The sequence below is a fragment of the Homo sapiens genome, chromosome 1, assembly GCF_000001405.40.
Source record: "Homo sapiens chromosome 1, GRCh38.p14 Primary Assembly".
In the NCBI taxonomy this organism is placed as follows: domain Eukaryota; kingdom Metazoa; phylum Chordata; class Mammalia; order Primates; family Hominidae; genus Homo; species Homo sapiens.
This window is the reverse complement of record NC_000001.11, coordinates 6035793-6063712: the sequence shown is the minus strand read 5'-3', so window position 1 is coordinate 6063712 and position 27920 is coordinate 6035793. Positions and strand designations below refer to the sequence as shown.

The 27920-nt window shown below is 54.9% G+C and overlaps 1 protein-coding gene across 15 annotated transcripts in view, besides 2 other annotated features; it reads right to left on the bottom strand.

The window, feature by feature from the left end:
* KCNAB2 (potassium voltage-gated channel subfamily A regulatory beta subunit 2) overlaps window positions 1-27920 on the bottom strand; it is a 108505-nt gene that overhangs the window by 37468 nt on the left and 43117 nt on the right. For 9 of the 15 annotated variants that reach the window (XM_047432866.1, XM_047432870.1, XM_011542321.4 and 6 more), the window contains 2 exons: window positions 23068-23196; window positions 21841-21882 (listed from right to left, as the gene is read on the bottom strand). In XM_047432866.1, the coding sequence (XP_047288822.1) occupies window positions 21841-21882; window positions 23068-23144 (119 nt within the window). In that variant the 5' untranslated portion in view covers window positions 23145-23196. Of the gene's footprint in view, window positions 1-11958; window positions 12203-17529; window positions 17826-21840; window positions 21883-23067; window positions 23197-27920 lie in introns of those variants that run through there. The other 6 variants (XM_047432872.1, XM_005263514.4, NM_172130.3 and 3 more) reach the window with 3 other exon arrangements.
* Window positions 3146-3646: an enhancer, noted in NCBI's record as "H3K4me1 hESC enhancer chr1:6120127-6120627 (GRCh37/hg19 assembly coordinates)". NCBI's record gives its function as "activates a minimal SCP1, AML or CMV promoter by ChIP-STARR-seq in primed H9 embryonic stem cells {active_cell/tissue: H9 hESC(primed)}" and the evidence as "EXISTENCE:reporter gene assay evidence [ECO:0000049][PMID:30033119]".
* Window positions 9778-10278: an enhancer, noted in NCBI's record as "H3K4me1 hESC enhancer chr1:6113495-6113995 (GRCh37/hg19 assembly coordinates)". NCBI's record gives its function as "activates a minimal SCP1, AML or CMV promoter by ChIP-STARR-seq in naive H9 embryonic stem cells {active_cell/tissue: H9 hESC(naive)}" and the evidence as "EXISTENCE:reporter gene assay evidence [ECO:0000049][PMID:30033119]".

The window sequence follows — 27920 nt, the reverse complement described above, 5'->3', positions numbered from 1 at the left end:
AGTGTCCAGTGTGGTGGCTCATGCCTGTAATCCCAGCACTGTGGGAGGCTGAGGTGGGTGGATCACCTGAGGTCAGGAATTTGAGACCAGCCTGGCTAACATGGTGAAACCCCATTTCTACTAAAAATACAAAAAATTAGCTGGCTGTGGTGGCACACACCTGTAATGCCAGCTACTCGGGAGGCTGAGGCAGGAGAATTGCTTGAACTCGGGAGGTGGAGGTTGCAGTGAGCTGAGATCATGCCACTGCACTCCAGCCTGGGTGACAGGGCAAGACTCTGTCTCAAAAAAAAAAAAAAAAAATTACTGGCACAGGCACAGATGAACCTTGAAAACATGATGCTAAGTTAAAGACGGTCATGAAAGAACACGTATGATTCCATTCATATGAAATATCCACGGTGGCTCACACTTGTAATCCCAGAACTTTGGGAGGCTGAGGCAGGTGGATCGTGAGGTCAGGAGTTTGAGACCAGCCTGGCCAACATGGCGAAACCCCGTCTCTATTAAAAATAAAAATAAAAAATTAGCCAGGTGTGGTGGTGGGCGCCTGTAATCCCAGCTACTCGGGAGGCTGAGGCAGGAGAATCGCTTGCACCTGGAGGCTGCAGTAAGCCGAGGTTGCGCTACTGCACTCTAGCCTGGGCGACAGTGAGATTCCGTCTCAAAAAAAAAAAAAAAATCCAAATAGGCGAATCCGTAGAGACAGAAAGCTTGGTGGTTGCAGGGGGTGGGAATGGGGAGTGAGAGTTGAAGGGTATGGGGCTTCTTTCTGGGGTTGATGAACATATCCTAAAATTGTGGCAATGTTTGCACAGCTCTGAATACATGAAAACTGCTGAATTGCACTTAATTCCATATAATTGCATTAAATGAATTGTATGGCACGTGAATTATATTTCAATAAAGCTGTTCCCATCTCCCCCAAAAAAGTCACCTGCCTGAAAACCCTCTGGGCTTCTATTCCTGCTGTTCCCTGTGGAAGTGCCTTTCCTGTTTCTCTGCCTTTGAACTCGGAGTCACTTGTGACATCAGCTCAGACAGTGTGTGTGCGCTATGAAGCTAGGCCCCCAGCACAAGTAACCCCTCCCTTCTCCGAGCGCCACTGACCATGTTCTTCCCAGGGACACCAGGGGGTGGGGAGCAGTTTGCATGTGGTCATCTTGGTGTCTCCACCGTCCAGCACCATGTCACGTGCCCAAAAGCCTTCAATAAATATTGGATCAATGGACCCAGGAAAGACTAATTTATGTTCCTTATGATATGATACTAAGGGACACAAACAGCTGCTAGACAAATGCCCACTTACTGGGGGAATGGCGTTTCCTAGCTCACATTGTGTTCTTTTTTGAGAACCCAAGGTAGAAATTTTAGAGACACTGGACTTTTTTTTTTTGGACTTCTTTTTTTTTTTCTTGTTGCCCAGGCTGGAGAGCAATGGTGCAATCTTGGCTCACTGCAACCTCCACCTCCCGGGTTCAAGTGATTCTCCTACCTCAGCCTCCCGAGTAGCTGGGATTACAGGCATGTGCCACCGCGCTCGGCTAATTTTTTGTATTTTTAGTAGAGACAGAGTTTCTCCATGTTGGTCAGGCTGGTCTTGAACTCCCGACCTCAGGCGATCCGCCTGCCTTGGGCTTCTAAAATGCTGGGATTACAGGCGTGAGCCACCGCGCTTGGCTGACACTGGACTTCTAAGCAATCAGTGGGTTTATTCTTTGCCGGAAAGTCTGTATAAAACACACAGCCCTCACCAGTCACTGCCTGGTCATCTAGTGGGTGAATTTGGTATTTTATTTTTACCACCGACTTATTTTACTGACCTACCCTTATTTTCCATTTTCCCCATATTTGCTATTATTTATTTTAAAAATTTCATGGTAGCAGATTAATTTAACAACGTCACCTACAATCCTTTTTGGAATAAGGTGGGGTGGAGGGTAATTTTAAAAAGAATTCAATATAATTTTTGCATTATGCACATTATATTCCGTTATAATCTGTGAAAATTGGTGGCAGAGATGATTACTCTGTATCAGTGCATGTTACCTGGGAGGGGTTTTGTTCCCCAGGGAACACTGGGCAGCATAGGGAGGCATTTTTGGTTGTCCCAACTGGGCAGGAGGTGCTACTGGCAGTAGGCAGAGGCCACGGATGCTGCCCCATGACAGAGAATTGTCCAGCCCAAGTGTCAATGGTGCCAGGGTTGAGGAGGCCTGCTCTGTTACCAGCCAGAATCTGGGATGGTGTCTCCCTGATCACATCGTCCAGACAAGGGAAGCCTGGAACATTCATGTGTGGGGACACGCCCGGCCCGGTGCTGGGATGACAGGCGTGAGCCCCCGCCCGGCCCGGTGCTGGGGTTACAGGCGTGAGCCACCGCCCGGCCCAGTGCTGGTAGGCTTTGGTCAGAGGCATGGAGCGTGGCTGGTTGACTTCAACCTACAACCCATTTCTGGTTCTTTTTCTGTCTCTCCGGTACCTGCTGTTGATAAGATGAAGCAGCTAGCTCTTGCTGTGATTCACTGGAGAGCAGCCACCCCCATTAAAAGCTCTGCTCTGTGTCCCTGGAGTGCACCACAGACAGCATCCCTGCTGTAGCGGAGGCTTCCGGCTCAGTGCCTGGGGTCCACTCCTCCCCCTTGGGCCTGGAGAGGCTGGAAAGCTGGGGCCGGCCAGCTCCTCCCCTACAATGGCAACAGGCTCGCAGTGGAAGGGGGCGGATGCCCTCTCATGCACAGAACGAGGCCTGTGGAGGGCTCAAGGTCTGGAGAAGGTTTTAGATATGGCTTTTTTTTTTTTTTTTTTTTTGAGACGGAGTCTTGCTCTGTTGCCAGGCTGGAGTGCAGTGGTGCGACCTTGGCTCACTGCAACCTCCACCTCCTGGGTTCAAGCAATTCTCCTGCCTCAGCCACCTGAGTAGCTGAGACTACAGGCACGTGCCACCATGCCCAGCTAATTTTTGTATTTTTAGTAGAGACGGGGTTTCAGCATGTTGGCTAGGATGGTCTCGATCTCTTGACCTTGTGATCCGCCACCTGCCTGGGCCTCCCAAAGTAATGGGATTGCAGGCGTGAGCCACCACGCTTGGCCTGACATGGCTTTTAAAAGCACAGCCTCCAGCAGCTCCTCCGAGAGTGAGACTGAGGGTCTGCATCCTGCAGAGACCGCCTTGTCCGTGCTGAACGGAGTGTGGTTTACACCCAAAGGTGGCTTCTTGCCCAAGGAAGGGCAGAGGATGTTGAACAGTTGAGGGGCTGCCCCAAAGGAGCAGTTTCTAAGAACAAAGGGAGGCAGGGCCGGTGGCCTTCCTGGAGGAGGAGTCCACCAGGAGAGTAAGAGCTGAAGACCCCATAGGGGCTAAGTGCTGTGAGTGTGGCTTCCTCCAGCTGGGGCATGAAGCAAGGGTCCCTGGGAAAGGCCTGAGCCACCCGTGTTCAAGGCCAAGTCAGCCAGCAGGAGAGCGCATCAGCGGTGCCCAGGAGTATGGCAGGGCTCCAGGGAGAAGGTGGGATCCATGTGGAATTCCAGGAGTGTCCTTCTCCTGAGAGCAGAGGCAGGAGGGCAGATGGCGGGAGCCTGTGAGGCAGCAGCAGGTTCTGTGTCTGGAGTAGGGTGACTCACTGGCCTTGCCAGAGGGCGCATCAGATGGTGGGAGACTTGACACGGAGGGACAGTGGGAGGCCGAGGGAAGGAGGAGGCCACAGGACCGATGACAGGACATGTGAGCCTTGCCCAGAGCGCACATCCCACTGGCGGGGCCCATTCTGTGGTTGGGCTGAGTGGACTGTGCTTGAAGCTGCAGGTGATGCTAGGACAAGGCCTCCTGCAGGCCATGTGTGTGCTTCCCGGGAACCGGCTTTGCACGGTCTGCAAAGCCAGTTCCTCCTCCTTCCTCTTGCTCACCAGGACCTCATGGCCCCACTCACTTCCAACTCTAGGAGCCCAGAAAGGGGAGAGAGGCCCGCGGCTGTGAGATGGCCGGCTCTGCTCTGAGTTGCTGCTGTTTCCCATGCAACTCTCCAGCCCCAAGCGAGCACCTCTCTTTCTCTTCCTCCTTCTGTCCTCAGAAGCACCCTTTGAGACGTAACAAGACCAACAACAATGACCACGGCGCCAGCACATGGGTGGTGCTCCCTCTCCTTGCTTGTCCGAAGAGCCTCCAGGGGAAGATGCCCCAAACCTCCAGGAAGGGGCCTGGGGATCGGTAGTGTAACAGGTGTGGCTGGGCACAGTGGCTCATGCCTATAATCTCAGCACTTTGGGAGGCCAAGGTGGGTGGATCGCTTGAGCCCAGGGGTTCCCAGCTAGCCTGGGGAACCTAGTGAGACTCATCTCTACAAAAAGCACAAAAATTAGCCAGGTGTGGTGGTGCGCACCTGTGGTCCCAGCTACTAGGGAGGCTGAGGCTGGAGGATTACTTGAGCCCAGGAGGCTGAGGCTGCAGTGAGCTATGATTGCACCACTGCACTCCAGCCTGGGCGACAGAGCAAGGCGCTGTCTCAACACAAAAAACAACAAAAAACAGGAAAAACAGGTATGGCCCGTGATTCCTGTGGCCAGGTCAGCTCCAGAAACACCTAGCACATCATCAGTCGGTTACAAGGCAACCACCCAGTGCAGGAGTCTGGGTCTCTCTGCCTTTCCTCCCACCTCTCCTGCAGCAGCCCTGTGGGGGAGGGAAGGGCTGTTCTGTCCCTTTAGGGAAGCTGGGGCTGGAGAGGCTGGGGCTGCAGACGGATGCTGTTTCCAGGCCTGGGATGACCATGACCACCGAGGCTCCAATGTGGTGCCCGCTGCCAGCAGAAGCCCTCCCAGCCCCGACCCAAGCCCCACACAGCTGCCAGCCGTGGTCCTGGGCAGGCCCTCAAGGAGAGCACTGGGCCTGCCAGCTGGCTTTCTCCCAGCCCCTGCGTCTGGCCCGGCAGCTCTTCCGGAATGACTGGCTGCTCGCCTCCCTCCCTCCTCCTGTTCCTTCCTGATGCCTCCGCCCCTTGTCTGCGCGGCACTGAACTACATCTCTAAGTGAGACTAGGTGCACGAGTGAGACCCCAAGATGGATAGACAGGGGACAGTCCAGGTGCCTGGACAGCGACTGCTGTGTGGGAAGGTCCCTTTTCCAGGGACGGGAAGGGCCTGCATTTCTCTCCCACAATGAGCCAAGCCTGGAGCTTTGAGTTATGTCACCTGGAGCTTATTTAGTCCTCAGGACAATTCTGCTGTAGTGACCCCGGTCTCCACTTTCCGGGTAAGGAAATCGAGTCATGGAGAGGCCAGGGGACTTGTCTGAGGTCACACAGGTAGCCGGTGGGAGCCCGGGTTCCTCCCAGGACACTCAGGGATGTCCCCGCAGGCTCAAGGTGTTGAGTCAATCCTTGGGGCCTGTGGCAGGTCGAAATGTGTCCCCAAAAGACAGTTGAGATCCTAATTCCTGATACCTGTGAGTGTGACTTTATTTGGAAACAAGGTCTTTGCAAATGTAATCAAGTTAAGATGCGATGGTCCTGGATTAGGGTCAGCCTTCAATCCAATGACTGGGTTTTTGTTTTTTGCTTTTTGTTTTTGAGGCAGGGTCTTGTTCTGTCACCCAGGCTGGAGTGCCAGTGGTTCGATCTCGGCTCACTGCAGACTCTGCCTCCTGGGCTCAGTGATCCTCACTTCAGCCTCAGGAATAGCTGGGATCATAGGCACTTGCCACCATGCCTGGCCATTTTTTGCATTTTTTGTAGAGACAGAGTTTTGCCACATTGCTCAGGCTGGTCTTGAACCCCTGGACTCAAGTGATCCACTTGCCTCAGCCTCCCAAGATGCTGGGATTATAAGCATGAGCCACTGTGCCTGGCCATGACTGGTGTTCTTATAAGGAGAGAGAGATTTGGAGACAGAGGCCCACAGAGAGAAAATGGCCATGGGACGGCAGAGGCAGAGGTTGGAGCGATGTGGCCACAAGCTGAGGAATGCCCAGGCCTGCCGGCACCACCAGAAACTGGGGGAGGCAAAAAGGACCCTCCCTGGGGCCTTCGGAGGAAGTATGGCCCGGCTGCACCTGGCCGTTGGACTTTCACCTCCCAGAACTGGGAAAGAAAAAGCTTCTGTTGTAAACCACCCAGCTTGTTACAGCAGCCTCAGGAAAGTAAAACAGGATCTTTCCCAAGATGGACCCCGTTCCTTGGGGACCCCTCTTTCCCAGGATGCACTTGGCCTTGTAGACAGGTTAACTTGCCATCCCCCCTGGTCTCTGCTGTTTTTCTCCTTCCCCTCCTCCTGCCCTCAGTGCCCTCCTTCCCGCCTGTCCTTTAAGACACACCTGGATTCCCAGCTCTTCCCAGCTGGAAGTGATGGCCTATGGTTAACTGAGCAACTACAGTCTGCTCAATGAACCTGGCAACCAACCAAGTACTTCCTGGTGAACCTGAGCTTGTGGTAAGAGCCTGGGATCTAGAGTCAGAAAGCACAGGAAATCAGGACTCCTGCCCTGCCAGGAGTTCATGACCAAGGGTCAGTGCCCAAGGACCGCAGAGGCTCCCTGCCATCCACATCTGGACTGCAGAGAGAGCCTCAGACCAGCTTCCAGTCAGTCCTGTCTTCCCACCATCTAGGATGCAGCCCGAACGAGACATGTGCTTTGGAAAGTAGATTAAGACCAAGACCACGCAGCGCCTTCCGACCTAAACTCACAGAGGCTGGGGGTGTTCCGGGTGCCAGGGACAGACAAAGCTCTGATCTCAAAGCAGTGCAGATGGGCAAAGAGCAAGGCAACCGAGATGGAGGAGGGGTGAGGAAGACACTCACTCAGGAGAGGGGCTTCTGATGACTTCATAGGTGCTTGTTTAGAGTGGGTGCTTGGGACAGTCTCTTTGGGGACCAAGCTTAGATGTGACAATGGGAAGGAACCAGGCCACGTCTGGGGAGGCAGCCTCCAGGAAGAGGGAACAGAAAGTGCGATGACCCTGTGGATGGAATGAGTTCCCCTTTGGGGATACAGAAGGAAGGGGCGGCGTCCAGAGCCTCCTGAGCGGGAGGGAGAGGGGTCCGAGTTGAAACCAAGGAGGCAGGCTAGGGCCACGTAGAGCCTTGCGGGGAGTTTGGGTTCACTCCCAGCACCATGGGGAGCAGAGGAAAACACAGCTGAACTGAGGGCTGGTGTCCAGTCAGCACAGTGTGGGCCCGGCCACAGCTTCTGGCCTGCCATTCTGAGGCCACATCTCTGAACCCTAACGTCCACAGGGGAGGGGAAGTGTGTGCTAGGCCAGCTGCCCTCACCCTGCTCCCTCATGCTTACACAGGGGCTGTGTGGATTTAAAAATTCATCTTAAAATTCTTTTTAACAGCAATAATTGAGGACAGTTTAAACAATGGGGAAGTGTAGGCCGGGCGCGGTGGCTCACGCCTGTAATCCCAGCACTTTGGGAGGCCGAGGCGAGTGGGTCACTTGAGGTCAGGAGTTTGAGATCAGCCTGGCCAACGTGGTGAAACCCCGTTTCTACTAAAAATACAAAAAATAGCCGGGCATGGTGGCTCGCGCCTGTAGTCCCAGCTACTCGGGAGGCTGAGGCAGGAGAATCGCTTGAACCCAGGAGGCAGAGGTTGCAGTGAGCTGAGATTGCACCACTGCACTCCAGCCTGGGTGACAGAGTGAGACTCTGTCTCAAAAAAAAACTGGGGAAGTGTAACAGGCATGCTGCCGTCCACCTCCATCAGCTACAGCTCAGTTCAGCTGATGAAATGCCCAGGCCAGGGGCACAGCTGGTTTCTTGCGGCACCGGGCAGTGCCTATCCCCAGGTATCATCTTTTCTATATTCATATTTAAGACCAAGTTTAATGGTGACCCAGCCCAGTCGCTGACGGAGAAGAGGTAAGCACAGAATAAATTTATCTGGGATCTTTAATAACTGGTGGTCTGAGTCACGGAGCATCCCACCCACCCCGTCAACCCTGGTGCAGCAAAATGAAATTCACCAGATAGAGTGAGGCCACCACCCTCCCCGCCCCACCTTCACCCTGACCTGGGTGTAACAACAACCTCTGGCCCATCAACTGCTAAAGGGACTTTGTTGGTGGGGTGAGATGGCTCATGCCTGTAATCCCAGCACTTTGGGATGCCAAGGTGGGCAGATCACCTGAGGTCAGGAGTTTGAGACCAGCGTGGTCAACATGACAAAACTCTGTCTCTACCAAAAATACAAAAATTAGTCAGGCATGGTGGTGCATCCCTGCAGTCCCAGCTACTTGGGAGGCTGAGGCAGGAGAATCGCTTGAACCTGGGAGGCAGAGGTTGTAGTGAGCCGAGACTGTGCCACTGCACTGTAGCCTGGGCGATACAGCGAAACTCCAACTCAAAAAAAAAAAAAAAAAAAAGCGTTTGTCTTCTGGTCTCCTCCACTCCCTGAGAAGCGAGATCCCCAAGGGCGTTTCAGCCCCACAGTGGGACCTGCAGTGTCTCCGAGGCTGCTCAGGCATTTTCCTCGGGGCTTCAGGCAAATAAAAGATATGTTCTCTCCACCTGTGTTAGTTCCCTGCGGCTGCCATTACAAAGATCCCCAAATTAGAGGACTTACAACAACAGGAATGTCTTCTCTCCCACTTCTGGAGTCTGAAGTCCAGGTGTGGGCAGTGTTCCCTCCAAACACCCTCATGAGGTGTCCTTTCCTGTCCCTTCCAGCATCTCGTGGCTCCTGTTGGGGCAGGAGACCAGGGTCTGGAGGCAGGGAACTGAAGGCCAATTCCCGCTGATTTCCTATAACTAAGTCAAAAGGAAAACCCCAACTTTCCACGCCCAAGTAACAAAAGAACCAGAGGCTACTCTCTTTGCATGGCGCCCCCTTTTCTGTGTGGCAGACGAAAAATGGAAAATACCTCTGATTTGTCCCCTCCCGCAACCAATCAGGCTGGCTGTGGGCCAAGTCTTCATTTGCATAGAAGTGTAACTTTGTAACTTCATTTCAGCCTCTAATTGGTCACTTTCTGCAACCAATCAGAATGATCACAGGCCACTACTTCATTTACATAAGATGTACACCAGGTAACCAATGGGAAACCTCTAGAAGGTATTTAAACCCCAGAAAATTCTGTATCCAGGTTCTTGAGCCGCTTGCCCACTCCCATCCTGTGGAGTGTACTTTTGTTCCATCTTGGCTCACTGCAACCTCCGCCTCCCAGGTTCAAGTGATTCTCCTGCCTCAGCCTCCCGAATAGCTGGGACTACAGGTGCCCGCCACCACGACTGGTTAATTTTTGTATTTTTAGTAGAGACAGGCTTTTGCCATGTTGCCCAGGCTGCTCTCGAACTCCTGGCCTCATGTAACCCACCCGTCTTGGCCTCCCAAACTGTTGGGATTACAGGCGTGAGCCACCTCACCCGGCTGCTTTTGTTGCTTCATTCTTTCCTTGCTTTGTATGTGCGTTTTGTCCAATTCTTTGTTCAAGATGCCAGGAACCTGGCTGCACACCCTCCACCGGTAACACCGAGACTCCTCAGAGTCCCTTGGGTTGTGGACCCGTCACTCCACTCTCTATCACCACATGGCCTTCTTATAAGGACACCAGTCGTAGGAATTAGGGTCCATTCTAGTCTTGTATGGCCCCATTGCCCCATCTTAATGATATCTGCAATGACCCTATTTCCAAATAATGTCACATTCTTCTTCTTCTTCTTTTTTTTTTTTTTTTAAGACAGGGTCTCACTCTGCCGCCCAGGCTGGAGTGCAGTGGCACAAATAGGGCTCACTGCAGCGTTGAAATCCTGGGTTCAAGTGATCCTCCTGCATCAGCCGCCTGTGTAGCTGGGACCACAGGCATGTGTCACCATGCCTGGCTAATTTTTTGATTGTATTTAGAGATGGGGTTTCGCCATGTTACCCAGGCTGCCTCCTAAAGTGCTGAGACTACGGGCGTGAGCCACCACACCCAGCCTAACGTCATATTCTGAGGTTTAGGATGAATGTGAATTTTGGGGGGTCTTGATTTAACCCACTAAACTATCCTCCATCACAAATCCTGTCCACATAGGAGAGAGCTGAGGTTTCCCTGAGTTTGGAGGATGGGGTCTGGCCCCTCCTGCATCATCGCCTTGTGTCCTCCACCTTCCTCCCTCCAGCCTAGCCGCCTGGGCCTTCTCTTCGCTCCTCCAGCTGAGAGAGGCATCCATTCCAGACCCCTCTCCTCTTGGGCTGGAATGTTCTCCACATCTTCAGATGATCCCTCTCTCAGAGGGTTCCCCCTCGGCCTCCCTGGTCTTTCTTCATTGCATTGTCCTGCTTTGCTGCCTCGGCCAGTGGTCGCTGTTGGAACTTGTCTCCGTGCAAGCTCGCTGCTTCTCTGCCCCCCACACCCCCAGGCCATGGCTGCCGTGAGGTTGGGGACCTGGTTGCTCTTGTTCATGCAGCAGCTCCAGGATCTGGCTCAGCGCCTGGTGCCAAGCAGACTCTCAATAAACATTTACTGAATAAACAAAAGGAATCAATGACCAGCCCCTCATGAATGCCCAGCGTCTCCTTCTTGAGAAATTTCCAGCAGAACAAGGAGGTCAGCTGTGGCCAAACTAGCGGACCCTTTGTCCTTCCTTTACAGCTGGATTTAGGATACAAAGCCTGAAAAACACTGCCATCTAATGGACTCACAGGAGAAGTGTTTTGTTTCTAAATTACAACCACATATTCAAACAATGGGCTGAAGGACCAAACACGCCGTCCACAGGAGAAAACGTTAAAGGAGCGGTCCTGGCCTGCACTCCACTCTGCACAGAGCACGCAGATGATCCCTAGGGTCTGTCTCAGACGGAAGCCAGATATTTAGTGTTGCCAGATAAAACACAGGACGCCCAGTTAAATTTGAAGTTCAGATAAACAATGAGGAACTTTTTAGTATAAGTATGACCCAAATATTGCATGGAACGTATTTATGCTAAAAAGTTACGCGTTTATCTGAACTTCAAATTTAACTGGCAACTCTACAAGGACTGGGTGGGGAGGGTCCTCTTTGGCTGAATGGCTCTCACAAGGGCATGTTCCTGAGAGGCACAGAAGATAAAGCTGTCAATTTGCAATTGAGAGGGATTTACACCAGCCAGAGAACGGTGGCTAGCAGAGCGCTGTCCGAGGTGCTGAATTCAAAGACAAGCGCACTAAAAAGAATGTCCTTTGGAGGTTCCAAGAAAATTCAGACCTACGTGCCTATCATTAAGAGCAGGGGTCTCCAACACCCAGAAACACATTTTTCCCCATGGAGAAACACACCCACACATTTTTACCCCATGGAGAATTTACTAAACTTTTTTTTTTTTTTTGCGCAATGGAGTCTCGCTCTGTCACCCAGCCTGGAGTGCAGTGGTGCGATCACGGCTCACTGCAGCATCAGATTCTTTGGGCTCAGGTAATCCTCCCACCTCAGCCTCCCAAGTAGCTGGGACTACAGGTGCATGGCACCATGCCTACCTAATTTCTTTGTATTTTGGGGTAGAGATGGGGTTTTGCCATGTTGCCTAGGCTGGTCTCAGACTTCTGGGCTCAAGCAATCCACCCACCTCGGCCTCCCAAAGTGCTGGTATTACAGGCATGAGCCACCGTGCCTGGCCTCATTTTCTTCCTTTATACATTTTTGTTGTTGTTGTTGAGACAGTGTCTCACTCTTGTCGCCCAGGCTGGAGTGCAGTGGTATGATCTTGGATCACTGCAATCTCTGCCTCCTGAGTTCAAGCAATTCTTCTGCCTCAGCCTCCTGAGTAGTTGGGACTACAGGTGCGCCCCACTATGCCTGGCTATTTTTTGTATTTTTAGTAGGTGGTGTTTCACCAGGTTGGCCAGGCTGGTCTCGAGCTCCTGATCTCAGGTGATCCACCCGCCTCTGCCTCCCCAAGTGCTGGGATTACAGGTGTGAACCACCGTGCCCAGCCCTTTTATACATATTTATATGGCTGAAATCAGACTTCCCACCCCACCGCCCCCCTGCCCGGCCCTTACCGATACTTCATGCCTGTGCGCTGGGCGGTGCAGCCGTCCAGGGAAAGGCCGTGCATGCGGAGGAAGCTCTCCATGTTCCTGGCCTGGGCAGCCGCCCGCACCTCCCGCAGCCGCTGCAGTTCCAGCGTGTCCGTCTGGCGGACGGGGTGCAGGGCCCATTCAGAGTGGCACCTGCTGCTCACGCTCCGCAGACTCTCGCTGTACGTCATGGACAGCATGGTGCCGCCTGGCTTGGGAGCTGCCACTGTCCAGACGGTGATGAGTTAGACAGTGTGCCAATGCCCCACGTGCCCCAGGCTGGATGGCTGGCCCTGGGGCAGGGGGCAGCTGCAGCGAAACATCCTTTAACTAGTGCCACCACCAGGTCTTGGTGTCTAGGAGTGGGACCCGGCCCCTGGATGTAAACACCTCTTGGCATGAGATTCTCAGTCCGCAAAGCAGTGCTTGCCAGGAACTCTGGCTAAGCTGCCCTTTTCTGTCCCCTGCATCTGTGAGACAAGCACAGGCAAAGCTGCATTCCAGGCAGGACAGCTGCACCCCAAGTGTCCAAATGAAAACGGGAGCACAGAGAGCATGCAGAGCCTGAGCCCCCCAAATGCTGAAGACCAGGGTTGCTGTTCCGTGGTGACTGCGGTACCATGTCATGGTGGTCTCTTGAGGTGGTTCCCAGGGTAAAACTGGGTCAAAAGCTGTCCCTGGGAAAGCAGCGCAGGGCACACCTGTTGCTGAAGTAAACTCTCCTGTAATTATGCCAGGGAGGCACCTCACCCCCGCATGCCAGGTGGCCCCAACATGGGAAGGTCCTATTTGCTCTTAGCCTTGTAAAGGGAAATGCTATCTATACAACACATTCCCTGCTTGTTGAACGCATCATTGCACCGCAGAGATCTTTGGGCTTCATGCTTTTTGCAAAAGAAAAACTGAGCAGAATGCATTTAAGCAGGTTGCGGAGGAGAGTGGCCTGGGGAAATAGGCTTAGTTGGGACAGGGGAGTTTCAAAGTTTCTATGTGAAGAACCACTGAAATATAGCTGAAATGATGAATGCACATTCTTGGAAACTAAAAGCAATGTAAATGTCCATCAGTAGGGAAACTGGTTACCTAAGTGACAGTCCATCCACATAGTGGGAATTTGTGCTGCTGTCAAGAATGAGGCATCTCAACATAGTGAGTGAGTGAGCCCTGAGAGATAGTGGACAATTAAAAGGCCAAGGGAGAAAGCGTGTGTCCAGAACGCAACCACTGGTGTTAATTCATGTGCACAACAGTGAGTGGACCAGTGAGGGCAGCCTCGGGGCTGAGTCCTCACCCTGCAGAGTCTGTGACAGCGCAATGAGGACATGGAGGCAGGCTCAACACAAAGGAGGTCCCCAGTCCAGTGACCCTCACCCCACCTGACTGCAGCCTCGGCCATGGCCCAGGTGGCCTGCACTGCAGCTCTGCATCATCACCAGAGAGAGAAGGTGCAGAGGGGAAGTCACCATTTCAGCTGGGTCAGCTGCACAGTGGGATCCTGGAACCTGGCCTGGGAGCTGGAAAGGAACCAGCACTGTCCCCACCTTCTGCCCCAAGAGAGGAAAAGTTCGATTATCCCTGGGAAGGAGCTGGGAGGGCTATCCTGGGAGCTGAGGCAGCTACAGAGGCTTTAGCACGGTCCTTGAAGGGGGTTGAGATGTCCTGGAGTTGCCCCAGGCTGGGCCTTTCCTGGGGTGAGCTCCAGGGGCCAAAGGAAAGACCCACAAGGGGCAGGAGTTTGTGATGAGCCCCATGTGCTGGGGTCCTTCCAGAATGGGTGACCAGCCTGCTGACCTTTCACTGCTCTGCCTATATGTGCACCCAGAGAGGGGGGCCACCTCCAGGAGCCCCACAGCTGCCTCTTTCATGGGGGTTTCCCTGCAAGTATTCGTCTGTATCTTATTTGCAGGGACCTTCATTCATGTCTGCCCTGTTGTGCCCAGCATGAGGCCTAGCTCAGAGCAGAGCCTACAAATGCCTGTTGCATGAACATGCAATTGAGGTAGGGAAGGTGGGCTCAGAGAAGAGCTAAAGAGAGACCAGCAGGCAAGGAGCCCCCGAGGAGCCCCTACAGGGAGCTGGGTAGCAGTGTCCACACAGGCCTTGGCCCCACCACCCTGGTCAGGGCTGGATGGCCCCCTCCCTAAAGGCGAGCAACCAGTCGTCCTTGGGGAGCCTGCTGTGCTGTCTGCACCTCTGCACCTCTGTCTGATGGGCATGGCTCCCGGGGGTGGGGGGGCTGCGTTTCCCATCCTACCCTCTGTCCCACACAAACCACACCATGTGCCTCTTTCCTGCTGTGATCTGTCTCCATGGCGCTCGCCATCATCCACCTTGCTGATTCCTTTCTAGCTGTCCTGTGTGCTGAATTCACTCCCCTGAAGGTTGAGTCCAGGAGGGCAGGGACCCTTCTGCCTCCTGCCACTGCCACTGCCCCCTGCTCAGTGCCCATGGGAGTGCCCCTCGTGTACAGAGGAGGGACTCAGATACTTGTAGAACAGCAACCAAGGCCCAGGCTCCAAAAGGCCAACCAGGGCTATACCTGGGCATTTCCTGGCAGTGCCAGGCAGCTGTTGGTGGGGGCGGGGCTGGCTTCCTGCCTCAGGCCCAGTGGCTCTTTGCAGGTCGTCCTCTCTTGCTGGGGGGTTCCCATGCCAGGAGTTGCATTCACCACTGCTCATTTCTATGCTGGGAGGGGTGGTGGCTGCTGGACCTCTGGACGCTAAAGCAGGCGGGTACCCTGGCATGGAAAGCCGTCTGCCTTCCAGGAGAATCGCTCTGGAGGGCAGAGAGGCCCGGACTCCAGGAGAGGTTCACCTTAGGAAATGAGGCCCTTGGCACCCACAGACAGCAGCACCAGCTTCCCTTCCCTGCCTACTGGCCGGCCACTCCCTTCCCTCCATGCGCGTGGCAGGCAGCTGCTTCTGAGGTGGCCATGTGGCTAGCTGCCAGTCCGGTGTGGGGCAAATGGGGGCCAACCCTCACTTCCCTGAGGTCTGTGTTTAGAAAGAAGGCCAGCTGGGCAGGCTGTAGCCCCAGGGCTCTTTCTGAAAGGCAGGACCAGCCTCAGACACGCAAGTTCCCTGCCTGGCCCGACCAGGCTGAGATCAATAGCCATTAGCTTTCAAGACATTACTCACAAAAAGCAATCCGGGTCTGGTTTGGCTCTAGAAATATAGCCAAGGCCCCGGGGCTGGAGGACGGGGTGGCTGAGTGCCCAGCTTCTGGACAGGGGCAGCTCTGCTTGTCACCTGCTCATGGTGTGGCCCAGGCAGGCACCTTGACCGCTCCCGGCCTCAGCCTCCACATCTGTGAGGTAGGCTGGGCAGAGGCCTGTTGTACCAGGCTGCTGTGGGCTGCATGAGATGAGGCTTTGGACAACTGGGTGGGAGTTGGTGACGCAGCCAGAAGACAGTCTGTTGGGGGGCGTGGGATAAGACACCAATTATGATAAATGCTGTGGAAAGAAAAATCCACCACCAGGGGCCAGCAGGCAGGGCGGGAAGGAACTTGTGACCACAGGTTTGAGTGAGAGGAGTGAGCCACACAGACACCAAATCTCCCTAGAAAATGCTTAAGGGAAGAGAACACAGATGTGAATAATCGCCCCCTTCACAACAAGATGGTGGAAGGCTGAGTTTGGGGATGTGAGTGGGAGAGGGGAGAGAGGGCAGGACAGAATGGGTTTTGTGGCCAGGATTTAGAGGGCGTCCCTCCCTGTGGGGGCCCGCTTGCAATCTTTCCTTAGAGCTCATGTTGCAGCCCTGGGAGCAGACCTGCAGGTGGGAGCCCTGCGGCACGGAGGGAGCCCAGAGCCTCTTGCTACGAGCTTGTCCCCATGGTGCCAGGGCAGGGCTTGGGCCAGGGAACTTGCGGGCACAGAAATGGCAGCCTTTGGCATGGGGTGGTGGGGTGAGGAGCAGGGCTGGTGCCATGAGGAGCCCATGGCCGCTGGACTCCCCTGAAGGTTGGGTCCAGGAGGGCAAGGACTCTTCTGCCTGCTGCCACTGCCCCCTGACCAGTGCCCACGGGAGTGTCCCGTGCACAGAGGAGGGGCTCAGATATTTGTAGAACAGTAACCAAGGCCCAGGCTCCAAAAGGCCAACCAGGGCTATACCTGGGCATTTCCTGGCAGTGCCAGGCAGCTGTTGGTGGGGGCGGGGCTGGCTTCCTACCTCAGACCCAGCAGCTCTTTGCAGGTCACCCTCTCTTGTGTGGGGGGGACTCCCATGCCAGGACTCTGTACAGCGGGGGCTCCCTGTGGTCCTGAAGGCTCATGACTCTGGGAGGGCTGCCCCAGGGGAAGAAGGATAGGTACAGGCAGAAGGCAAAGAGGCTCTGCCCGTTACCAGCGGTGCCTGGGGACAGAGGACACCTCTGGACTCCCTCACACTGGGGCTCTATTCTGGGCTTTTGCCGAGACTCTAGCAGCGTCAGGTCCTTGGACGAAGGGCCCCCCGGTAAGACACTGCAGGGAGGAGAGAGTGGCCCCACTGCCGGGCTCCTGCCTCAGGGTCCCCACTTCTCCTGTGCTCAAGAGCACAGTGACCCCTGACTTCCAATTCAAAATATCCCAAATCCCGGCCGCTTTCCAGAGTGAGGGTCTCTGAGCCCTGACACTCCCTCACCACCCTGGTACCAAGAAAAACGAGCCCCTCCTCAATAGCCATTGCTAATTACGTGGAACCCACAAGTTCTTTCCTGGGCTGGGCCTGCCTGGTGCAAATCTATTCCTGTAGATCAGGGGCCCAGGGGAATTCACGTGAATTAACACCGTGACATGGAAAAATGCAAGGAAGATGTTAACCTCATTAAGTCAGTAGGAATCACTACCTCACCCCAGACTCCTCTACCTGGAATTTCTGAATTGTTCTGTTTACTGAAAGCCAACAAAGCATACAACCTGAGATTGAGAAGGAACCCTGAGCATCTCTTCTGAATGGTGACACCTGTCCAGAGAGCAGAGAGCCCAGCCAGAGTTCTCCAAAGCGGAAATGGAAGGGGAGCTGCTACCATTCCGGGGTGCGGCTCTACAAGACACGGCATTGCTTCAGTGCAAACACAGAATGATTTTCGCTCAAGGACAATCAGCAAACTGAGGCCCAAACAAGCAGCCCCTGGCTCCCTCAGCACGTGCTTCCTGCACAGACATTTCAGACAAGACCAAACCTCCCTGACAGCGCTCTGGGCAAAACTGGAAAATGCTGAATCTTAATCAATGGTGAACACAGCGAGGTACGAGCTAGACGCCCGTGTCTCCGGCAGATGGGAAAACAGTCAGCCTTGGGCAGGTCTGGGCTGTGAGCAGACTCAAGCGAGAGGTGCTGCCCGGCTGAAACCTGCCGCCCACCACCCCATCCATCACGGTCATTCCAAGTTTACCTCAGGCTGGCTCTTTTTTAAGGTCTTCTGCTTTGCAAAAACACGGAGGGTCTAATTCCGGATCAGACAAAACCACCCCAAAATATGGTCTCCTCTGTTATTTTTCATTCCCGCGGATGCGTGCCCCCAAGCGGCATCTCCACTAGGAAGGTAGCGGCTGAAGGGAGGACTCACCTGCCTTCGTGGGGGCGTCTGCTCGTTAAAAAGGCCACAGTCTGGTTTATTAGGGATCACCAGACACTCTAAGGATCTGGCACAGCGGCTTTTTCATTAGGGAGTGTCACTGCAGGACGTCAGAAGCAATTGGTGAATGAGATGAGTCCCACCAGAGTCGAGTTTTGAGGCAGCGAGTCCATTAGTTCTATTAGGGCGTTTTCATCTCAGTGAAAGAGGCTGAATTATTCACGAGTGCCTCTTCCCCTAAAAGCTCGGGAAGTGCAGTTCCGTGCTGCAACCTGGCAAGGCTGACTCCCGGTGCGTGGGGTTGGGGTGCAGCCCAAGGTGAGGGGGAGGTCCTGCCCGTCCCTCAGGCCTACCCTTGCTGCCTCCACCATCCCCGCGTGCCAGAAACACAAACCTTTGGACCCACAGGTCGAAAGGGGCAGGCCTTGCTCTTTGGTATCTGAGTGCGGGACACAGAGCCTGTGGCTTCCGCATACCACTCAACTCTGAACTGTGTCTGCAGCAGGGGAGCTGGGGGCCCCGTCGTATGGGGCCACCACCCACAGCCAAGGGGGTCTGGAGAGGCCTCTGCTCAGCACACGCGCATGCTCCTCCTGTCCTCTGGGGATACACCCGAGATGGGTATATCTGATACTACCGGTAGCTATAAATGGCAGGAAGGCCCCAGAACCTGCTATTTGGACTCCACACTGCCACTCACTCCAGGCAGGGACACAGGAGCCCTTCTCCACGGCACATGTCCTGACCTGGGGTTTGGGAAATGCTTTGAGACTAGGCCAAACAAGGCTGAGCTCTGGGATGAGGCTAAGTGCTGAGCCCCAACCCCAGGGTCATGACCCCCAGGGTCACTGCGTGTCACAGGATGCCAGCAAAGTCCCAGCGTGACATCATCTTCCGGCTGAGAAAGCGCGCCAGTGAATGTGGGATTTTGAATGGAGGCAGAACCGTCCCCCCATGATGAATGAGCAAACAGTGGTAGCTGCCATGGGGGAAGGTGGGGGACAGGAAATCAGTGCCCCAGTCGCAGTGTGGAAGGTAAATGAAGTGGGAGGCTGGGAGAGCACGTAGAGTCTGGAGGTGCCTGGCTGCGGGTGACTAGCTGCGAAGGCCTTGGCAATTGAAATGGTTTGTCCCCAAAGGCCCAAGCCCACTCTGTCAGATCCCCACATGTCGCCCTGGTCGGGGGGCCTGCGCCTCACTACTGGGTGGTAGCTGCAGCCTAACATGCTCCGAATGAGGCCCTCTCCTTCCCTGGGTCCACTGCTCCTCTCTGTCCCTTTCTGTCTCAGCACCTGCCCATCAGTGGCCAAGCCCTGTGGACGTGGCTTCTGACGTCCTTTTTTCAGGCCCTGCACCCCTTCATTCTCTCTCTGTGCAGTTCCTGGAGCTCAGCCGTCCTGCACCTTTCCTGGGCACTGTCTGGTCTCCTTGCATTAGCCTCTCTCTTCCCTGTCTTACTCCCTGCTACCAGGCTTCCTTCCTAGAGCAGATCTCTGACCCCTGCCCTGCTCAAACACCATAGATGGCTCCCCAGTGCCCTCTGAGTGCATCTGTGCCCCATCGCTAGGCATTCGAGGCCCCCCACCAACATCCACCTCTACAGCCAGCCTCTCTTTATTCTCCATCATGTCCCTGATGGCCCAGGCTGGGTAACTGTCACTTCCTGTTCTCTGTGCACACCTCTGAGCTGTGGCTCAGGCTGTTGTATCTACTGGAATATGCTTCCCAGCCTCTGCGTTGAATCCTGCCCAGCCTTCAAGGACCAGATCCAAGCCCCTGCTGCCTTCTCCGTGAAGTCTTCTTGGCTCTCAGCTGGCTGTGGCCCCTCCTTCCTTGGACCCCAAATGCTCTTTGGGCTTCTCCTGTGACGTGCTCTGCCTTCTGGAGATCATCAGGGCTATTTGAGACCTGGGGTACATGGAAGTATTGCTCCCAATCCTTCACCCCTCTCTGTACCCATGCCCTTTGCCATGTGACTTTATAGCTCCTCCCACTGGTGGGGGCAATATATTTCCAGCCCCTTGACTGTGGGCTGGTTCCTGAGACTTACTTTGGCCAAAAGCACGTGAGCAGAGGTGACAGCGCTCTGACCCCAACCATAGGCCGTAAGAGACCCTGCATGTTTCTGCTTTTCCTCTGGTACTTTTGCCATGGGAAGGACATGCCTGGGGTAGGCCCCAGTTAAGCATGGGAAGATGGAGGACATGGGGATCCAACTTGCAGCTTGGAGACAAACCCAGCCAAGCCAGCTTAGACGAGCTGCCTGGTCAACCCGCAGACACGGGAGCAAGGAAGAGATGCTGATTGCTGCGTGGCACTGAGTTTTGGAGTTGTTTGTTATGCAGCACTTGGTGGACAGCTGATTGGCACAGTGTCCTATGCCAATTCCTTGCCTGGGAGCTGCATGGGGGCAGGGCACATGCCTTGAACGCCTCTGCCCTGTGAGAGGGCCAGGCCTAAGTAACTGAAAGAACCATCCAATAGCCATGTTTAGTGGTATGCTTGGTGTGATGAGGGTGCCCTACTAGGAGTGGCCCCCAGCCTGTTAACAAACAAAGACCCTAGCCCTTAGAGGTCATCTCCAGAGCCCCCACAAGAGACACCCAAGTGACCCCCTGGAGATCCAACGGGTAGGATGGCCAGAGCCTGTGGGCACCAGAATTGGGGCTGAGAGCCTAGAGGGTAAGCTTCAGAGCTTCCCTTGGGGCCAGGAAGGCCACCTGGAAATGAAGGTTCTTAAGCACAGGGATCCCGGCGGGGGGGACAACATGTTGAGCCTGTGGGGTTTTGAGGGCCTTGAGTGGGCTGGAAGGCTCTCACTTGGTCACTGGATAATTTACTTGGCCCCTCCTAGGGGCAGGCCCTTGGAGCTGGATGGTCTGTACCTGTGGGCAGCCCTTTTGAGCTGGCAGGTCTGCACCTGGGATTTTCCTGCCTGCTCATCAGACCTCACCCCTTCCCTTCTGAGGACTGAGGCTGCTCCCGGCTCTCTGAGGATGCAGTTCAGGTACATGTTTTGTTTCACTGATGAAATCCCCTGGGATGAGCGGCATATGTTTGTTAGGATCTGTTATACCATGTGTACATACATCACAATACAAACATTTCATCCAGGGAAAGCATTTGCAAGCCGGAGTTCAGATTTAACTATCTTAAGCAAAATCTTATCTACCAAAATTTCAGTAGGATCTAAGAGTTGGCCATGTCTTCAGAGCTCCCTGTAAGGAGCAGGACCTCCGAGGAGGCACTGAAGGCGTGGCACAGATCACTCTGAGCATCTAGGTCCACGGTCCCCATCAGAGGTGCTATGGCTGGCAAACGGGGGGGGGGGTGGGGAGTGGGGGCGCGGGGAGAGAAAAGCTACATGGAAATACATTGCCACCTCCATGACCACTGCCTGGCACATTGGCAACGATCCCCAAAGCACTGTTACCAGATGTCCGGGTCCGAATAGAGAGACCTCCCGGCCTGACCGCCAAGATGCAGCAATGCATACCAGGGACCTGCTGCCAGAAGCCGTGCCAATTCCCCAAACAGTCCCAAGGCATGGGGAGGCTGCTGCCCATGGGCTCCAGGCAGCCCTGACATTTTACTTCCTAGGGTTGGAGGCTGCACCAAGAACATGCATCCCCTGCCTTACAGGTGAGGGAGAGGCAGCCCAGAGAGAGGAACGGGTCTCCCCAAGAGCACCCTGCAGGGCCCTAAGCCTGGCATCTTGATGTCACATCCTGCTGGGGCACAGTCTCTCGCCAGGTGCCCGGTTTGTTAATTCACCAACAGAAAAACATATCAGAAAGATGTCACTGATCCACGTCGTATCAGTACTGCACACCCCCAAGCAGGCATTAACCTTCAATGAGCCTGAGGAGCTCTGTGAGTTCCAGATCAGGTCAAACCCACAGGCAAAGGGGGAACGGATGGGCTCGCCACGTCCTGTACTCTGATAATGGAAGCAGGGCAAGCTGGTGACCACAGGAAGACATCTCCCTCACTGCCTGATGAGTGAAGCTTTAACGGTAGATTTGGCTGAGAGCTTGGCAGTCATCAAAAGCCCATTTGCTCAAATCAAAGCAAACTTCTGGCAGACCAACACATACAATTAACCTGACTTCACATTTTCCATCAGGACATTGCACAGCATCCTGTGGGTAGGCACAGAGGGTGATGAGCAGAGCCTGGGGGTCTCGGGGGCTTTGGCTTCAGAGAATACACCAGCACACCCTGCTCGGCAAGGGTGCAGTCCTCCCACCCGCTCCCTGGCCTTCGGCTCGCTGGGTTTTAGGGAGAATGAAGACTCATTACCTGTAAAACTGGAGCTGTCTTTTGGGACTCCCATACCGAGTACTTCGGACAGCAATGGAGAAAAGAGAAAAAGGAGAAAGGGAGAGAAGAGAGAGAGTCCACAGTTGGCATCAACCCCAGCAGGTGCAGGTCAGAAAGAACCACCAATGTCCCATGCCCCCGGGCCCCCACCAGTCGCCTGCTCAGGGCAGTCTCTGAGGAAGCGCAGCCGGTGCCAAGTGCTCTGCAGCAGCGCCACCCGGTGGCCACGGGGCAGAGACCCGGAGCCAGTTTCCTGGACACCAAGGGCTCCTTCCATGCCAGGCCCTGTTTTCCGTGGTGAACCTCCGAGTGAGGGTTGGTTTGGATTGAATGTGCTTCAGGACTTGCTTTGCAATATGCTTGTGGGCAATGGCTGAAAACCCTCCAACCCAGACGTGCAGAGCACCCGCGTGCTGGCAAACCCGCACCTGCCCGCCTGGCTCTTCTTAGGACAGACACTGCCTTTCCCTGTGGCTGTCACAGACACGGGCTCTGGCTCAGGCCCCAGTGATTATCCGGAAAGGTCTGGCTTCCCAAGACTGATGGGCTGCTGGGGTACTGCCTGTGCCTGCGTCTTTCGTGGGTTCTATGCTCTGTCCCCAGAGGCTCAGCTCTCACTGAACGCCCTCCGCAGCTGTCGCTGATGTTCAGCGCTGTTTATGGTGCAGACAGAAACACCCAGGGCTGCAAGCGGAAGTGAGTTCCACAAGGAGGGGGTCAGGATGCCCCAGGAGCATTTGGCCGCCCCCACTCCCTCCAGTGTTGGGAAACCGGCAGACGTGGTTCCCCAAAGGCCTGCAAGGTCGTCATCCTCGCTCAGGAGAAACTGGCAGGGCCACAGGGGCTGCGATGTATAAAGTGGGAGGAACAGGATGCCGGGGTTGGCCGTGCACTCACTGTCCGGCCGCTCTGTTAACCTCAAACGAGATATTTCGGAAGGGTCAGGGACAAGAAAGGAGTCTACTCTGGCTCAAACGCCCTGGAAAAGTTTTGGTTTTTCTTTCCCACTTGGGTTTTTAAAGCCCCTGCTCCTTTCTTGGAGAAAACGCTCACCAGCGTGCACCTCAAAACCCCGTGGAAGGCAGAAGCCTGTGGGCCCTGCTTGGGCCCTTCCACCTCCAGAGGGGAGGACAGTGGCCTTGGGAACCCGTCCTCGAAGCAGGACTGACCCTGGGAGGGGGCCTGGGTGAGGGGGCAGGGGGTCACCTGTAGATCATCCCGGGGGAGCCCGTCTGCCGCAGCGAGAGCCGAGCCGGGGAGCCCGTCGTTGATTCTGGATACATGGAGCCAGCCTCACTTATCCAGACTTGCTCGGTTTTTTACAGTGGGAAAATTCTGGAAGAAAAGCAAAATAAGGGAGGGGAAGAGGGTGGTGGTTAAAAAAGATCAACCAGGTTTGGCCGGGAGACTCTGGGATCACAAAGGCTGAGGAGGCTGTCTGGGTTCAGGGCATCGGGGAGCCCCTCAGCAGAGAGACAGACAGACAGACGACAGACAGACACACGGCAGGCAGGCAGGTCCACGGGCTCAGGAGGGGCTGGAGAGCAGGTGACAACTGTGAGAAGGGTTTCCACACTCCATCACTCCACACTCCCACCTTATATGTCGTGGAGGTCCTTCCACACCACCCCAACTGTTGTTCTGAAACCGTAGGTGTAGTTTCTGCTGCCCACATGGTGCAGAAGAGACCGCCCAGGGGGCATCTGTGTACTTTCTGAGCTCCTGACTGCACTGCTGTCCCCCAGGGTCATCGCTGACACTGTCCCTTGCCCTGACTCCAGCCCAGTGCAGCTTCCTGGTGCTGCCATTGAGCTCCTAAGTCAGGCAGCTTCTCAGATGCCACTGATGTCCGCAGCTCCTGGGATTCCTGCCCTTGGGCAGCCCCTGTCCTGGAGTGTGGGCTGCACCTAGCAAGTCGCTTCTAACCAGCAGAACACGGCAAAGGTAATGGCAAGACTGTCACTTCTGTCTTGCTAGAGACTGTCCCTCCTGGCTCTGATGAAGCAAGCTGTGGTGTTGGAGAGGCCCTTGGGGCAGGAACTGAGGGCAGCCTCGGGCCGACAGCTGGCGAGAAGCTGAGCCCTCAGCCCAACAGCCCAAAGAAAGGAGTCCTTCAAACGAACGAGGGAGCCTGGAAGTGGATCCTTTCCTACCAGAGGTTTCCAAGGTGAGCCCAGTCCCGGCAAGAACCTCGACTGCAGCTCAGGGGTCCCAAAACAGCAGACCCAGCCCTGCTCTGCCCCAATGCCTGACCCACAAGAACCAGGAGATCTCACTCTGGGCAGTTGGAAGCTGCAGGGTTTGTGATGAGCTGTTACAGCAGCATTGATAATGAGTATGGCTGCCAATATCCAGCCGTCCACCCACATCTCTGGCTGCCACCCTTGGGCTGAGCCACTGCTGTCTTTCACCTGAACCCCTGGGTCCCCTCCCAGTGGCTCCCCCCACCGCCTCCTGAACCCTCTCAGCTCTGCACGCCTTCCTCCACCTGGCTGGCTGCTGGTTGGGGGCTTCTATTTCCAAAGTGAATCTGGTCCCATGCTCTTTCCTCCCACTCCTAGGCACTGCCCCCTCAGGCCCCTATGCTCTGCCGCCTGGCCCTTGACCCAGGCCCCCGCCTTCCCAGCACGCTGAGCTCACACTGTCTGCGGATGCTTGCGCTTGCGGCTCCTCTCCTACTGGCTGCGCCCTTGCTGCAGTGCTTCTCAGCGCCATGAGCCCCGACTGTGGGGCTCAGGGGTCCCTGCTGCTCCCCGGCCGACACCACGCCCTTGCTGCCTGCACACGGGTCTGTGGTGCCCCAGTTCCCTCTCTGGGGGGGGTGTGTTCCAGGAGGGCAGTGGTTCTGTGGGTCTCACTCACTGCTGCACCCCCATGCCTGGAACAGGGCTTGGCTTCTGGAAGGACAAATGACCCCTGATCCAAAATCACGTGGTCCCACACCCACAGGCAAAGGGATGGTCTGGGCTCAAAACAGCCCCGCCCATCCACAGCAACCCATGAAGTTGTTGGGAAACCTGACACTTAGCCAAGTGGCTGATTGGCTTTGTTTTTCCCACTCTTTTTCCCCAGAACAGTGACCTCCCGTCACCAGGAAGCCGGCTTCCTCGGAAGAAATCAAAGTAAGGGAGGGGATTCCCAAACAACCTCTGTCCCTGGGGTCAAGGCAGCACAGGTCTAGGTCCCCCTAATAACGGAGGTCTCCTCTGAGTGAGCGATGTGAGCACATGTGTAGACCTGCTGGTAAAATGGGACCAGCCTGGAATACCAGCACTTCGGGAGGCCGAGGCAGGAGGATTGCTTGAGCACAGGAGTTTGAGACCAGCCTGGGCAACACAGAGACATTTGTTTTGTAGAGACCCAGTCTCTACAAAAAAATTAAAAAATAAAAAAATTAGCTGGGCGTGGTGATGCATGTCTGTAATCCCAGCTACTCGGGAGGCTGAGGTGGGAGGATTGCTTGAGCCTGGGAGATTGAGGCTGCAGAGTGCTATGATCGTGTCACTGCACTCCAGCCTGGGTGATGGAGCAAGATCCTGTTTCAAGTAAACCAAAATGAAAACCAAAAACAAGGACAGAAGATGCAGAGAAGATCCAGCACTATGCTAACCTCAGAGGAAGTGGTGGGGCTTGGTGACGATCCCCTGGAGTTTTATTCTTAAAGACCCTCATTTGGGCCAGGCATGGTGGATCACACCTGTAATCCCAGAACTTTGGGAGGCTGAGGTGGGTGGATCACGAGGTCAGGAGATCGAGACCATCCTGGCTAACACAGTGAAACCCCGTCTCTACTAAAAAATACAAAAAAAATTAGCTGGGTGTGATGGCGGGCGCCTGTAGTCCCAGCTACTTGGGAGGGTGAGGCAGGAGAATGGCGTGAACCCGGGAGACGGAGCTTGCAGTGAGCCGAGTTCGCGCCACTGCACTCCAGCCTGGGTGACAGAGCGAGACCCCGCCTCAAAAAAAAAAAAAAAAAAAAGACCCTCATTCAGGCCAGGCACGATGGATCATGCCTGTAATCCCAGAACTTTGGGAGGCCAAGGCTGGTTACCTGGCTTTGGGGTGATTGAATCCCTGCAGCACTGGGGGGCTGGAGGGGCCTCAAAGGCAGCCTCTCTTTGAGCCCATTAGCAGCTCACGCATTTTGCTCTTAGATGACTCAGAGGCAGGAAATCAAATCATCTCACTAAAGTCGTTAAAAAACTGTCGTTAAACTCCTAAAGATGCTGTGCTTTCGATCGGAGGACAGTGCATTTCTTCTTGCATGGAACACTGGCTGAGCCCTGCTGCTGTGGGAGGCTCCCCTACAAGCAATGGAGTTCCTGCCCCCAGGCTCCCCTGAGTAGCTGAGGGACGTGGACAGGAAACCAGGGCTTCAGAGTGGAGGGTTCTGCTGAGAGCAGAGTCATCACCACAGCCCGTCCCCAGGGAGCCCTCCCATGGATGCTGCATAAGCAAACACGGCCCACGGGAGGCAGGATGTCCTCACACAGCCTTGCAGAAGGGGATGGGGGCTGGGATGCCTGTGCCTTTAACAGGGCATGTAGCCCACCCCACACTTCACTCTCTCTTGGGTCTAGGTGCTGAGCTAACTTCCAGAATTCCGGAATCACAAACTCAACTTGGGTTGGAAAACAGTGCAGGGACTGAGTCACTGGCTCCATGAACATAGGGTGGGGGTCCAAGAATCTGCATTTCCCACAAGTTCCAGGTAACGCTGATGCTGCAGGCCCAGGGACCATGCTTTGAAGACCCCTGGCCTAGAGGCGAGGTTGAGGGCCAGGAGTCTAAGCAGGCCAGAGCCAGCCTGCTGCCTATTTTTGTAAATAAAGTTTCATTAGAACACCTCCATGCCTGTTTACGAATCCTCTCAGGCTGCTTCTGGGCTCCAAGGGCAGGGCTGAGGAGCTGCAACAGAGACTGGCTGGCTGGCAAAGCCTAAATTATTTACTATCTGGTCCTTTACAGAAAGAGTCTATGGGCACCTGCTCTACGGCATCCTCTCTCCCAGGTTCAGGGGACACCTCGCTGCTCCTCCCTTCCCACCCCACCCTCAGCTGCCACTGCTGCTTCCCAGACCCCTGAGAAAACACAAGCAATCAGAAGCCACCTTCCACACACAGCGACACGATCTGTGCTCAAAGCCACCTGCCTTCCCTCCTGTGGCTACCCAGTGAACCGGCCCCACAGTGTCCATGGTCACATGGCTGTCCCCAGCCCCACACCCACTCAAGGGCATCCCAAGCCCATTCCTCCTTCTTCAGGACGCACTGCCAGCTGCACCCAATAAGTTATTATTTCTCTCATCTCCAAAGAAAACAAAAAACACAGTTTCTTTTTTCTTTTTTTGAGACAGAGTCTCACTCTGTCACCCAGGCTGGAGTACAGTGGCACAATCTCAGCTCACTGCAACCTCCGCCTCCTGGGTTCAAGCGATTCTCATGCCCCAGCCTCCCAAATAGCTGGGATTACAGACGTGCACCACCATGCCTGGCTAAGTTTTGTATTTTTAGTAGAGACGGAGTTTCACCATGTTGGCCAGGCTGGTCTCCAACTCCCGGCCTCAAGTGATCCGCCCGCCTCGGCCTCCCTAAATGCTGGGATTACAGATGTGAGCCACCTCACTCGGCCTAAAAAAGCAGTTTCTTAGACCCACTTTCTTCTCCACTGTTTCTTGCCTTCCATTTGAGAAAATTCCTCAAAAAGTTTTCCTTCACTTATCTGCGATTCCTCTTCTTCTTCCGGCTTATAAACCAACTCCAATCAGCCTCTGCCCTCACCACTCCGTGGAAACTGCACTTGCCAAGGTTGCGGTGACCTCTTCGTTGCTAGGTCCAGCGGTGCCCATCGTATCGGGGTGACAGAGGTGCTGCCTGCGGCTTCCCCAGCTCCCAGGACTCCACGCTCCCCTCTCATCCCTCCAGCCACTCCTTCTCAGTCTCCTGGGCTTCTTCCTGCTCATCGCTGTCCTCCAGTGGCTGCCCTTGCTCAGCTCTTGAATATATTCTTTTCCATCCCCACAAAGCCCCTCAGATTTCCACCCATCTCGTGGCTCTGAA